Source organism: Homo sapiens, chromosome 1 (assembly GCF_000001405.40).
Source record: "Homo sapiens chromosome 1, GRCh38.p14 Primary Assembly".
Lineage (NCBI taxonomy): Eukaryota > Metazoa > Chordata > Mammalia > Primates > Hominidae > Homo > Homo sapiens.
The window spans coordinates 16255246-16268907 of record NC_000001.11 but is presented as its reverse complement, the minus strand read 5'-3'; the positions used below and the strand labels follow the sequence as shown (position 1 = coordinate 16268907).

Genomic DNA, 13662 nt, shown 5'->3' with positions numbered 1-13662 from the left:
GTTCAAGTAATTCTCCTGTCTCAGCCTCCCGAGTAGCTGGGATTACAGGCATGTGCCACCACACCCAGCTCATTTTGTTTTTTTGTTCGTTTGTTTGTTCGTTTTTAGTAGAGACGGGGTTTCTCCATGTTGGTCAGGCTGATCTTGAACTCTCGACCTCAGGTCATCTGCCTGCCTCGACCTCCCAAAGTGCTGGGATTACAGGCGTGAGCTGCTGTGCCCGGCCTCTTTGTTCTTATTAAAGTGATGTGCTTTTGATTAAGAAGGAGTTAAGATGTTATTTAAGGGAATATTTTAAGTTATTATATTAGCTCCTCCCTGACCCATGGACCTATTCCTGGTTAACCTTCTTCATGAGGTGGTGGTTCTTCCTTGTTTCCTGTAGCCCTTTGCAGTCCTGTAACAACCTGGACCTGTGATGGTCTCAGGACATGTGAATGAAAGCAGAGCCAGTAGGTTCCCTTAGAAAAGGAAGAAATCCTTCTTGTTTATTTAGAAAGTTCAGACCCTGGGATTTTTCCAGAATACATGCTTTTCTAAGGTGTATACACATTACCTCCTGCTAAAGAGAAGAGTGGGAAAATTTGTATAGGACAGATCTGGGTAACTTTTAGTCCTCCCAGGGAGAGAATAAGTAAGATTTTACCATATTTCAGTTTGGCTCACTCTCAGGGCTGACAAGGATTTTTCTGTTTTGACACCAGGCTAGAAACTTTATGACTGGTAACATTGTTTTCACTTCTTAAAGTCCCTACTTGAAAGAGTACCCCCTATGCCCCCCACCCCCATTAGAACTGCAATTAACAAATTATCAGATTAAACTGAGACTTTGGACCTCCTCTCCTCCCTCAGAAATTGAATCAAAAGACTACTTGAAATGGTAACAAGGAACTATTACTGGCTTTTGTATTGTTCATTTTTAGCTGATAAGTGCTGCCCTATTCATCAAGTGGTCTTTCATATGGTTTTGTTAAGAAGTGAAAACAATGCCAATAGAGAATTTCCTTTAGTTCATGCCTGTGGCATAGTTAGATAAGATCTAAAAGTTTCTCATGCCCATTACAAAAGTTCCTGTTATTTGGATATTTCATAAATGACCCATAGAATGATGTTTTTAAAGATGTGGATATAGTTGTAATAATAATGTATACCCTGAATCCTGAGATCCAGACAAGTTTTGTCTAATACCAGTGAATGTTGATGTCAATCAGTAACTTTTCTGGCCTTTTTACAATTGAGGAGTAAAATAGGAAGAAAAAAATGGAGTGGGTAGAGGGGGAGACCCAAAAAAATGTTTGGCTTTAACCCCACCCAAAGGTGGGCTGATGCCTCTAGGGTATGTTATAAGTAGCTGGAGCCGACCCTGATCTCAGCTCCTGAGAGATCTATAACCATTTGGCTTCCGTGGATGGCTTCAATTCAACAAACATTTTCATAAGAAATAGTCCCTGTCTTCTAGGATAGTGTAGTCTTACTGGGGAGAATCTAAATGGATAATTTCAACACCCCTGATTAGAACTGCAATTAAAGAGCACTCCTGGGTAGAACCAAGTCTTAGGAAGCAGGAGTTTAGAGGTTCTGTAACTTTGTATTTACTTCCTATTTCTTTCTTTAAAGCATTATGTACTTGTATCTTCATGGGCATTTATATAAATGCAATGACTTGTAATTATTATTGGCCACATTGATGTTAAGTTGGAAATATTTTTATTACCAGAAGAGAAACTAGTATCTGTTCCAGATAGAAACCCCTTGGTCCTTGGGCTGCAGTATTTTGGAGACCATTCCAAATAGTTGTCTTCAAGGTGTTTATGGTCAAGACAGACTTTATACTCATGAATTTTGAAGTGTTTTTCTCAATTATCCTTTTATCCCTACCTCCTCACACCACAGAACCATGAAACATGCTTTTGTTGTTGCCCTTACGAAGTATTGCCTGTAAAATCAAAATAGTTTTGAGTAAGCAGTTAAATTATAACACCAGCAGTTTTTCTTTAAGGAATCTGTTTCCTTCAAAGTTATATGTGCCACGCTATCCTCCAGTGCCCTCTAGGTTTTCTGATTATGATGGTAATATGGTATTCTGGGAAATATCTGTCCAAATTATCCTGATCTCTGAACTCCTGCTGTTGAGGTCAGTCACTTCACACAATACCATGATGACAGCTTTATCAAGCCAGATGCTTAGTCAGAGCTTTCCAAGACCCAGCTTTGGTTTTATCAGCAAAATCCATCCTTCCCACCCCCCATACACACGCCAGTTTGAGGCTCCTCACTACCACAAAACAAAACAAAAAACAGCATCTGTGGGGTAGGGTTTTAGTTAACTGGTCTATCTGGCATTACTTTGCCCTCAAGGCCAGTTTTGTGTGTGAAGGACTGGTATACTGCCTGTGGAGCTGGAGTTGGAAGTGAATGCTTTATATTGGACCCACTCTGAGAAAGCGAGTCTGCACAGAGTGGTTAAGATGGGGAGACTTAACCTATCTTAAGGCAGGAGGTTAAGCCATCCTCCCGCCTCAGTCTCCTGAGTAGCTGGGGACTACAGGTACATGCCACTGTGCCTAGCTGTTAGCAAACTTATTTTAGCATGGCTCTTTTCCTCAAATTCTCCTTTGAATTAGCATTACTTCCTGCTTGCTCCCTTATTAATAAGTTAAATATATCCTAACACATGTTTACTCTATATATGTATGAAAGAGATGTTTCTATTTTTTTTAAAAAAAACTATACTTTGAAAACAGCCATGAAAATAGCCATTTTCCGTGGGGTAGAAAGGGTTCTGACTTTTTCTTTCAAAAGTTCTATCTTGTTTGATTATTTTATTTGAAAGTGTTTTAAAGCACTTTCATTTTCTTAAGGAAATAAAAATAAATAAGTCAGTTTCTCCCCAAAAGTCTGAAGTGTGTAAGACTAGAGTAACAGTTCTATTTGTTGAGAATGTAAGTGATATTGAGAAAATGGTAGGATTATATACCTGCTTCTCATCTTGTGACATTTGGCTATTATTGCCTAAGACACCTGTACTCAGAGCCAACTGTGTAGTATGCAGATCAGGGACCAAAAGGCTTTGTGAGCCATATAGAGCTCCTTTAGGAGGCCTTGAAATGTCTTTTTTTTTTTTTTTAATAGGGACTTATCTGAACCTAAACTTCCAAGGACAAGGGATTAACTCTTCTTTCATTAAATAACCCTTTAGGTTGGATTTCTTGATTACTCAGAACATGGAATTTGCCTTTTTTTTTTTCTTTTTTAGTTTTCAAGAGGTACCTAGAACAGTGTCTAGCTCAGTGTAAGCATTATGCATTAGCTTCACCTACCATTATTCATCTGTAAAATGAGGCTAGTAATACCTGCATTTTAAGGTTATAATGATTAAATTAGATAATAAATATAAAATTTGTAGCACTCAGTAGTTAGCACATAATAGGCCATCAAACAGTATTATTTATAACTCCTTAACAATAAACTAATACTAAAAAATGATAATAGCATGGAGATATAAAAATATTTTTTAGGCCGGGCACGGTAGCTCATGCCTGTAATCCCAGCACTTTGGGGGGCCAAGACGGGAGGACCACCTGAGGTTGGGAGTTCGAGACCAGCCTGACCAACATGGAGAAACCCCATCTTTACTAAAAATACAAAATTAGCCACTTGGTGGTGCATGCCTGTAATCCCAGCTACTCGGGAGGCTGAGGCAGGAGAATCCGTTGAAACTGGGAGGCAGAGGCTGCGGTGAGCCGAGATTGCGCCATTTCACTCCAGCCTGGGCAACAAGAGCGAAACTCCGTCTCAAAAAATATATACATACATTTTTAAATCGTGCATAAAATACAGGCATCCCCAATTAAAACAGGTGATTGTTTTATCTTGTTATCAAATAGTTGAGCTGCTCTATGTAGTCCTGGGTTCTGTGTAAATAGACACTACAATTGTGGGAAAGTGGCATAGAAATCAAACTAGGATTTGGAACTGCTTCACTGTTTAACCAGCTTCTTTGCAAACGTAAACAAGAATGCCGTGTAATTATACCACCATCATATGTGAAATTTTATTCTGATTTCATAGGAACCTTGGGAAACAGCTGAACCTATTAGCAGTTTTAGGGAATGTTAGTTCTGTTGTATAGGGTGTCTATCTGATTATTCAGTTTGCCACAGCTGCCTTTTGGGCTTGTGCCTTGTTTTGAAATTTGTTCCATTGATCATATCTGCTGTGCGATTTAGGAGGCCTTTGATGTGTTTGGGGAATGAAGCCCATGAGGGTGACTCCTGGCTCTAGGGGAAGAGGGCTCTAGGGGAAGAGGCTCAAGTAACATGTTCATCTACGCTTGATGTGGGCACATTTGGTCCTGTCGTGCTTGATGGGAACTCAATGGGAATGACACCCTTCCTTTCTTCACTTTTGTGCAGTAATGGCACTTAGACTGAATTTAGAAGCCCAGTGGCTTTGTTATTTTGAAGGCAGGCCAGGAAATGTCCTAATGAGTATAAAACCTTCATTTTATAAGTGTTCTTGCAGGAGCAGTATTTATTTCATCATATGTCACCATAGTGGTTATGTGCCTTTTTAACTATCGAATATCAGCTATTCCGAGAGTACTCCATGTTGTTCAAGATTTCCAGTTACTCAGGTGCTAGTGTGGAAGATATGTGTGTTTTAATAAAAATGTATTAAACCTATGTGCTATAACTGTAGCTGCTGTTTGGAATGAATTACATGCACATTCGGGCAGTTCTTCAAAGTCATTACTTGACATTTTATCTACGGCTACTCCATATAAAAATTATTGTTGGCCTGGCATGGTGGCTCATGCCTGTAATCCCTGCACTTTGGGAGGCTGAGGCAGGTGGATCACCTGAGGCCAGGAGTTCGAGACCAGCCTGGCCAACATGGTGAAACCTCGTCTCTACTAATAATACAAAAATTAGCCAAGTGTGGTAGCACACACCTCTAATCCCAGCTACTCGGGAGGCTGAGCCAGGAGAATCGCTTGAACCTGGGAGGTGGAAGTTGCAGCGAGCCAAGATTGTGCCATCGCACTCCAGCCTGGGCGAAAAGAGTGAAACTCTGCCTCCAAAAAAAAAAAAAAAAAAAGTTAATGTATGGCCGTGGGTTTTTTGTTTTTGTTTTGTTTTGTTTTGTTTTTTGGTTTTTCGGTTTTTTTTTGTTTTTTTCCTTGAGACGGAGTTTCGCTCTTGTTGCCCAGGCTGGAGTGCAACGGTGCGATCTTGGCTCACTGCAACCTCTGCCTCCCGGGTTCAAGCGTTTCTCCTGCCTCAGCCTCACAAGAAGCTGGGATTACAGGTGTGCACCACCATGCCGGGCTAATTTTTTGTATTTTTAGTAGAGACGGGGCTTCACCATGTTGGTCAGGCTGGTCTCGAACTTCTGACCTCAGGTGATCCACCACGCCTGGCCGGCCGTGTGCTTTTAAAGAAAGTTTGTAGGTACTCTTTTTTCTGATGGAGTCTCGCTCTGCCACCCAGGCTGGAGTGCAGTGACGTGATCTTGGCTCAATGCAAGCTTGGCGGGTTCACGCCATTCTCCTGCCTCAGCCTCCTGAGTAGCTGGGACTACAAGGCACCTGCCACCACACCCAAGCTAATTTTTTGTATTTTTCACCATGTTAGCCAGGATGGTCTCGATCTCCTGACCTCGTGATCCGCCCGCCTCAGCCTCCCAAAGTGCTGGGATTACAGGGATGAGCCACCGCGCCTGGCTTAGGCACTCTTTAAATGGCTTGCTTTTCCTGGAACTTAAAAAAAAATGAATAAAGTTATGTAATTTGAATATGGCTTTTCTTGTTTTTCTTGAAATTCTAGTAGAGACTTATTGTTTGTTTTCCAGAACTCCACTTTGGCTAAAGAGAATGTTATTCTTTGATATAGAAATTACCAAAGTTGTGGCTCACGCCTGTAATCCTAGCACTTTGGGAGGCCGAGGCGGGCAGATTGCTTGAATCCAGGAGTTTGAGACGAGCCTACACAACATGGTGAAATGCTGTCTCTACTAAAATTACAAAAAACTAGCCTGCCGTGGTGGCACGTGCCTGTAGTCCCAGCTACTTGGGAGGCTGAGGTGTGAGAATCACCTGAGCTTGAGAAGTCGGAGTTGCAGTGAGCTGAGATCGATTACGCCACTGCACTCCAGACTCTAGCCTGGGCAACCGGAGTGAGACCCTGTCTCAAAAAGAAAAAGAAATTGCCAAAATTGATGGATCCGCGTAATCTCTGACCACCCCATGTGTACTGGTGCACGGTCTGGGCTCACTGCAACCTCCACCTCCCAGGTTCAAGCGATTCTTGAACCTGGGACCACAGGCACATGCCACCACACCTGGCTAATTTTTGTATTTTTAGTAGAGACATGGTTTTGCCATGTTGCCCAGGCTGGTTTCAAACGCCTGGCCTCAAGTGATCCACCCGCCTTGACCTCCCAAAGTGCTAGGATTACAGGCTTGAGCCACCACACCCCATGTGATCTCACCATAAATTCATTTGATTTATAGATTTTGCTTTAAGATCATCGAGAGGGAATTAAGGACCATCTGCTTTAAACAAATTCAAAGTATGAAATATGAGCCAGGCATTTTGGTATACTCCTGTAGTCCAAGCTACTCAGGAGGCTGAGGCAAGAGGAATGCTTGAGCTCAGGAGTTAAAGACCAGACTGGGCAGCATAGCAAGACCCCATCTTAAAATATATATACATATACACACACACATATATATGAAATATGTAGATTTTTAGAAATAATGGAAGTAGGAGTTCTTTATAAAGGCTTCACAATATCAATTCTTAAAGTAGCAATAATTTAAAAGTATCCAATTTGCAATAAATATGCCAAATATTATATGGGCACTCAGGGTCACATAAAATTTGATATACCTGGGCCAGGCGCGGTGGCTCACGCCTGTAATCCCAGCAGTTTGGGAGACCAAGGCGGGTGGATCACAAGGTCAGGAGATCGAGACCATCCTGGCTAACACAGTGAAACCCTGCCTCTACTAAAAATACAACAATAAAAAAAATTAGCTTGAGCATGGCGGGGGGTGCCTGTAGTCCCAGCTACTCAGGAGGTTGAGGCAGGAGAATCCCTTGAACCTGGGAGGTGGAGCTTGCAGTGAGCCGAGATCGCGCCACTGCACTCCAGCCTGAGCGACAGAGTGAGACGCGTCTCAAAAACAAAAAAAAAAAATTGATATACCTGTATCCTTGACTTCTGGTTGCTGAACTCACTGTATAAAAGCTGTATGTTGATCTCTGCCACCTCATTTGTTCTTGTATGGTAAGTTTTTTTCCAGTTCACCCACAAATTGAGGTGGGGGTATACAATTGATTTAACTTTCCCCTACTTAGTTGAGATAATTAAGATGCTGAAATTAAGTTGAGCTATTTAAGATGCTCCTACTTTGTGACATAAAATAGGCCATGGAGATAAATTCTAGATGGAGGAGTTCTCCAACTTCATGAGATAAAAAGTAGAGGGAAAGATTTTGCCTTTCTAAAAGGTCAAGATATCTGAGACGTCGTTTTGGAAAGCCCTTACCTAAGATAATCCTAGAGGATCTCTTATATTGATTTATCATTATCACTGGCCTCAGCTTACCTTTCCTTGGAGAGTTCGGAGAATAAGTAAATGGTCCTATATTAGAGGTGGAGTGTGTCCCAGAGCCTTGTAGAGAAAAAGAGGTTCTAAGAATAGCCTTCTGTTTAATTTACTTCTCTCTGACTAGGTCTTTGGCTTTACCGGATTAAGATTGAAGAAAGAACTTCTTCAGCTTTGAAACACTAGACCTTTTAAGGCATCAGACTTGTTTGTGGCAACTATTCAGAAGGAATGTATCTGTATGCATGAAGTGCAGCATGATATATTCTGACTTTAAAGCTCATTCTTTTAAGGTGAGGTGGCTCATGCCTGTAATTCCAGCACTTTGGGAGGTGGCAGAGGTGGGAGAATCACTTGAGGCCAGGAGTTTAAGACCAGTCTGGGCAACACAGAGAGACCCCCATCTCTACCCAAAAAAAGAAAAAAATTAGCTGGATGTAGTGGCCTGTGACTGTAGTCCTAGCTGCTTAGGAGGCTGAGGTAGAAAGATCCCTTGCACCCAGGAGGTCAGAAGTGCAGTGAGCCATGATCAGTCACACCACTGCACTCCAGCCTGGGTGCCAGAGTGAGACCTCATCTCAAAAAAATAAAATTAAAAATTAAAATCCAGAATAAATGGATTAGAATCCTGGCTCTTCACTTATTAGTTCTACGACCTTGGACAAGTTATTTAAAGAGTTGTGCCCTCAGGTTTCTTATCTGTAAAATAGGAATAAAACTAGGAATTTTAGAAGGATTAAATTAATTAATACATGCAAAGCACTTAAAAAGCTGCATAGTAATTGGGCCAGGCGCGGTGGCTCACACCTGTAATCCTAGCACTTTGGGAGGCTGAGGCCAGTGGATTGCCTGAGCTCAGGAGTTTGAGACCAGCCTGGGCAACATGGTGAAACCCCGTCTCTACTAAAATACAAAAAATTAGCCGGGCGTGGCAGTATACGCCTGTAATCCCAGCTACTTGGGAGGCTGAGACAGGAGAATAATTTGAACCTGGGAGGCAGAGGTTGCAGTGAGCCGAGATCGTGCCATTACACTCCAGCCTGGGTGACAGAGTGAGATTCTGTCTCAAAAAAAAAAAAAAAAAGCTGCATAGTACATAATAGATGTAGATGCTCAATAAATATTAGTCATTACCATCAGTAGCAGTAGTAAGAGTTATAGTAACAATAATTGTCATTTCTCTTGGAGTTAAGTTATTCATCTATCCCTGCTACTTTCCCGTAATCCCCAAGCATAGGCACACTGTTGACAAAGTTAAAACCTTTTTCTAAAATACCGCTATTAAATAGAACTTTCTGCAATGATAGAAATGTCCTACATCTGTGCTCTTCAGTTTGATAACCACGGGCAACATGTGGCCAGTGGTGACTTTGTTGGGCAGTACAGATCTAAAGTGTAGTCTTTCCTCTACTTACATTATGTATGCCATGTTTTATGAATACTTTTAAAAATTCTATGAATATGTCCCACCTTAAAAGGTATATATTCTTTCTTTCTTTTTTTTCTTTCTTTCTTTTTTTTTTTTTTTGAGACAGAGTCTTGCTCTTTCACTCAGGCCAGAGTGCAGTGGCTCAATCTCGGCTCACTGCAACCTCCACCTCCTAGTTTCAAGCAATTCTTGTGCCTCAGCCTCCTGAGTAGCTGGAATTACAGGCGTGGGCTACCATGCCTGGCTAATTTTTTAATATTTTTAATAGAGACAGGATCTCACCATGTTGGCCAGACTGGTCTGAAACTCCTGACCTTAAGTGATCTGCCTGCCTTGGCTTCCCAAAGTGCTGGGATTACAGGTGTGAGCCACTGCGCCTGGCAAGAGGTATATATTCTTATACTGCATTTATAATTTCTTTAAGCCCAGTATCTCAAATCCAAATCCACATTCTAGTCTAGAGAGTTTACATTACTATTTTGCTGAAGTCTGTGATGTGTTTATTTGTTTTTTCTTTTTTCTAACTGTTTCATAGTACTGATGATTTCCAAGTTAGAGGCAAGAACTTGGAAGCTTTGTCTGGTATTTCACAAATTAAATTATTTTAGAGCAATAGTTGTGTTTTAACTAGACCATTATATTACTTAGGCTTTCTAATTGGGCTAGGAGATAGATCCCCTTGGGGAGGTAAATGTTTTTGACCAGGAACAGTAAGGCTATATGAAAGACAACAGCCTCTTTAATCACTATTCTTGTGGGATTTGAGGGTAGAGAATACCTCAGCACTTCAGATTGATGTGATAACTCTTCCTAGAGAAGATTTCTGACTGGGTGAGGTGGGTAATGCCTATAATCCCAGCACTTTGGGAGGCTGAGGCGGGAGGATCGCTTGAGGCCAGGAGTTCGTGGCCAGCCTGAGCAACATAGCAAGACCTGATCACAACAAAAAAATTTTAAAAATTAGCTGGATATGGTATTACATGCCTGTAGCCTCTGCTACTCGAGAGGCTGAAGCAAGAGGATTGCTTCAGCCTGAGGAAGTCGAGGCTGCAGTGAGCCATGATCGCATCACTGCACTCTAGCCTGGGTGACAAAGCTAGACCCTGTCTCAAGATTAATAAATAAATAAAGACTCATTTCTACAGTCAGTTCCTGTGGTCTGGATTAGTGTTGGTTTTATTTATGAAAGTATTCAAAATAGTTGACACGGACAGGCACAGTGGCTTACACCTGTAATCCTAACACTTCGAAAGGCCAAGGCGGCAGGATTGCTTGAACCCATGAGTTCGAGACCAGTCTGGGCAATGCAGGGAGTCCCCATCACTACAAAAAATTTAAAAATTAGTCGGGCATGGTGGTGCTTGCCTGTATTCCTAGCTATTTGGGAGGTTAAAGTGGGAGGATCCCTTGAGCCCAGGAGGTTGAGGCTGCAGTGAGCCGTAATTGTGCCACTGCACTCCAGCCTGGGCAACAGCAAGACCCTGTCTCAAAAAAAAAAAAAGGAAGAAGAAATGAAAAATAGCTGATGCCACATGGTGTTCTTAGATGCTCACCCTGTACTCTTCAGGACTGATGCCTTCTCAGTAAATCGTATTGTTCCCCTAAGTGAGATCACAAGAAAGACAGTCCTCTGCTCTACCTTCTCAACCTTGAGACTTTGTAAGTGACACCATTAAAGCAGTCTGAGCAGGGCTTTTCAAACAGTGTTCTGTAATGTGCTACTGAAAGAGGAAGCAAAGCTCTCCACCTAGATTGGAGCATCTCGACTGCTGTCAGGTTAATGTAGTGTTGGGATTTCTTCTGCTTAAGATATCCTTTGAAAAATGAGTCCTGCAGCTTTAACCAAAAAGAAAAAAAAAAGATTTTAAAAAAAAAAGTATTCTCAGCGAGGCATGGTGGCTCACGCCTGTAATCCCAGCACTTTGGGAGGCCAAAGCGGGTAGATCACCTGAGGTCAGGAGTTTGAGACCAGCCTGGCCAACATGGTGAAACCCCATCTCAACTAAAAATGCAACAATTAGCTGGGCATGATGGCAGATGCCTGTAATCCCAGCTACTCAGGAGGCTAAGGCAGGAAAATCACTTGAACCCAGGAGGTGGAGGTTGCAGTGAGCCGAGATTGCATCATTGCACTCCAGCCTGGGTGACAAAGCGAGACTCCACCTCCAAAGGAAAAAAAAAGTATTCTGGTATTTACTGACACCTGGATATTGGGACAAGTTACTTTGGTCTTGAGGAAACTAAAGGTGACATGTAGAGTGAGGGATGGGGAAAAATAGCAATTGTTATTTCAAAGACAATAGATTTTGAAAAATTATGCTCCTGTAAGACATTTGTTATCTCTAAAGTTTTCCAGCATAAGCCAAAGTGTTTTTTTTCAGAATTTGGTCAGTGTAGCCCAGAGGTCCAGTCTAGATGGTGTTTGGTGTAAGACTTATGGTTTCACTGGAATTCCTTCACACCAATCCTTGAAGGTCTGCCCCATTTGTGCTAGGCTGAGGCTATCTGGTTATGTGAAGCCCATAGCTAGGGGCCTGGAGGTCCCTATGTTAAAATTTGACTCACGGGACAAATAAGAACTGCCTCCTGCCTCCTTTTCTTACCTGTGTTTTGTAACGAGTTATTTTTAAGTTGCATCCAGACATCCAGCCTCTATGTATACTTCTCCCTGGTCCTCTACATTCTTTCTTTTCTTTGTGACCTCTGTTAAGTTTGTTAAAGGGATGGGAAGGGGTGCTCATTTGTTGAGCACTTTCTATGTGCCAGGCATTATGTTAGGTGCTTTGAATATACTATTTAATACTCAAAACAGCCTTATGAGATAGGTACTCTCATCCCTAATTTTAGGTGAGCAAATTATAAACATGAGAGAGGCTAAGTAACTTTTCTCTAACTCATATTTCTCTGTTAATAATAAAAGACGTGTGAATTAGTGATGATTTTCTCTCAGACTCAAACCCAGTTTTCTTTCCACCTTTCCTCTACACTTTGTAGTATTAGTTCCCCTTTTGTTGCTCTTCCAGGGAAAGGTGATCTATGGATAGCCTAACTACGGATTGTTGTGAGATCCTGAATGCTAACCATGGTGTTACTGACTTTCCCTAGGGTCCTATCCTTCCCCCAAAGCTGGAGCAACTCTGGTCGTGTACAAGGACTTGCTAGTGCTGTTTGGTGGCTGGACGCGGCCAAGCCCTTATCCCCTACACCAGCCAGAGAGATTCTTTGATGAAATACACACTTACTCACCCTCTAAAAATTGGTAAGTCACAAAGATAAACTCTTTAAATCTGGAAGAAAAGGCCTTAAATCAGTGGATTCTTTGTTTTTTTGTGTCAAGAGTCCCTTTGAGAATTAGATGGAAAGCTGTGGACTCTTTTCCCAGGAGGGGAAAAATGCACATATTCACAGATTTTACCAACAGTTTCAGAGAGTTTACAGGACTCTCTTAGAACCCTGCATTTAGAATCCTTATTCTAAAGAGAAAAAATAGAAGAGATTTATTCCTCTTTCAAGAAAAATGAATGAGCCAGTTGAAGAACAGCGAGCTCTTCAGCTTTGGCTGCTAACACTCCAGGAGTGTTGTAGATCCAGATGATTCCTTACTCCTAACTGTGTCTCCAAGACTTACTCTGAATTGTTTTTCAAACATATATCTCTTAATGACAGCAACCGCCGTTTCTTGTAATGGAAGACTTAGTACGTGGCGCTTGTTAGCTGTTACTGATCAGGACCATAGGGAAAGGTAGCAGGTGGCAGGTGGTGCTTTGTCAGCAAACCAGGCCAAAGAAGCCATGATCTTGTCTCTTGTCATCGTTTTCTCATCTCTCTCCCTCCAGACCGTTTACATTCAGAACTTGAAAGAAGATAACTTTAAGCAAACTTGTAGGAAAGGCATAAATACATTATGCCATCCTCTACTTATTATCCCAACAAATCTCTGCTGAAAGTGATAGGATTATCATTTTAAATGGATGCCTACTTACTATTTTTACATAAAGTGTGTGGTGCTGACTTCTTGACTTCCTCCTGTCTTTTTACATTAGGTGGAACTGCATTGTGACAACCCATGGGCCACCTCCCATGGCTGGCCACTCCTCCTGTGTGATAGATGATAAAATGATTGTCTTTGGTGGCTCTTTAGGATCCCGGCAAATGTAAGTACATTTGGTTTGCTCCATATGAGCCTGAAGGTAAATACTCCTGGGAATAACAGGTTTAAAAGTGAATTAGGGACCAGGTGCCTAATTCACACCTGTAATCCCAGCATTTTGGGAGGCCAAGGTGGGTGGATCACCTGAGGTCAGGAGTTTGTGACCAGCATGGCGAACATGGCGAAGCCCCATCTCTACTAAAAATACAAAAATTAGCCGGGCATGGTGGCACACACCTGTAGTCCCAGTTACTTGGGAGACTAAGGCAGGAGAATCGCTTGAACCTGGGAAGTGGCGATTGCAGTGAGCCAAGATCACCCCATTGCATTCCAGCCTGGGCAACAGATCGAGACTCTTAAGGAAAAAAAAAAAAAAAGTAAGTTAGGGTCAGTATTCCTGAGCATGGCTCTAATTAATCCAATTAGTTATCTCATCCTAGCATTCTGTTCTTTAATCCCTTAATCACAG

At 41.9% G+C, this 13662-nt stretch overlaps 1 protein-coding gene across 5 annotated transcripts in view; it reads left to right on the top strand.

Moving 5' to 3' along the window:
- The window catches only part of FBXO42 (F-box protein 42), a 105641-nt gene that overhangs the window by 83573 nt on the left and 8406 nt on the right, over positions 1-13662 (top strand). For all 5 annotated transcript variants that reach the window (NM_018994.3, XM_047422747.1, XM_047422750.1 and 2 more), the window contains 2 exons: positions 12149-12302; positions 13087-13197. In NM_018994.3, coding sequence (NP_061867.1) covers positions 12149-12302; positions 13087-13197 — 265 coding nt within the window. The remainder of the gene's footprint in view (positions 1-12148; positions 12303-13086; positions 13198-13662) is intronic.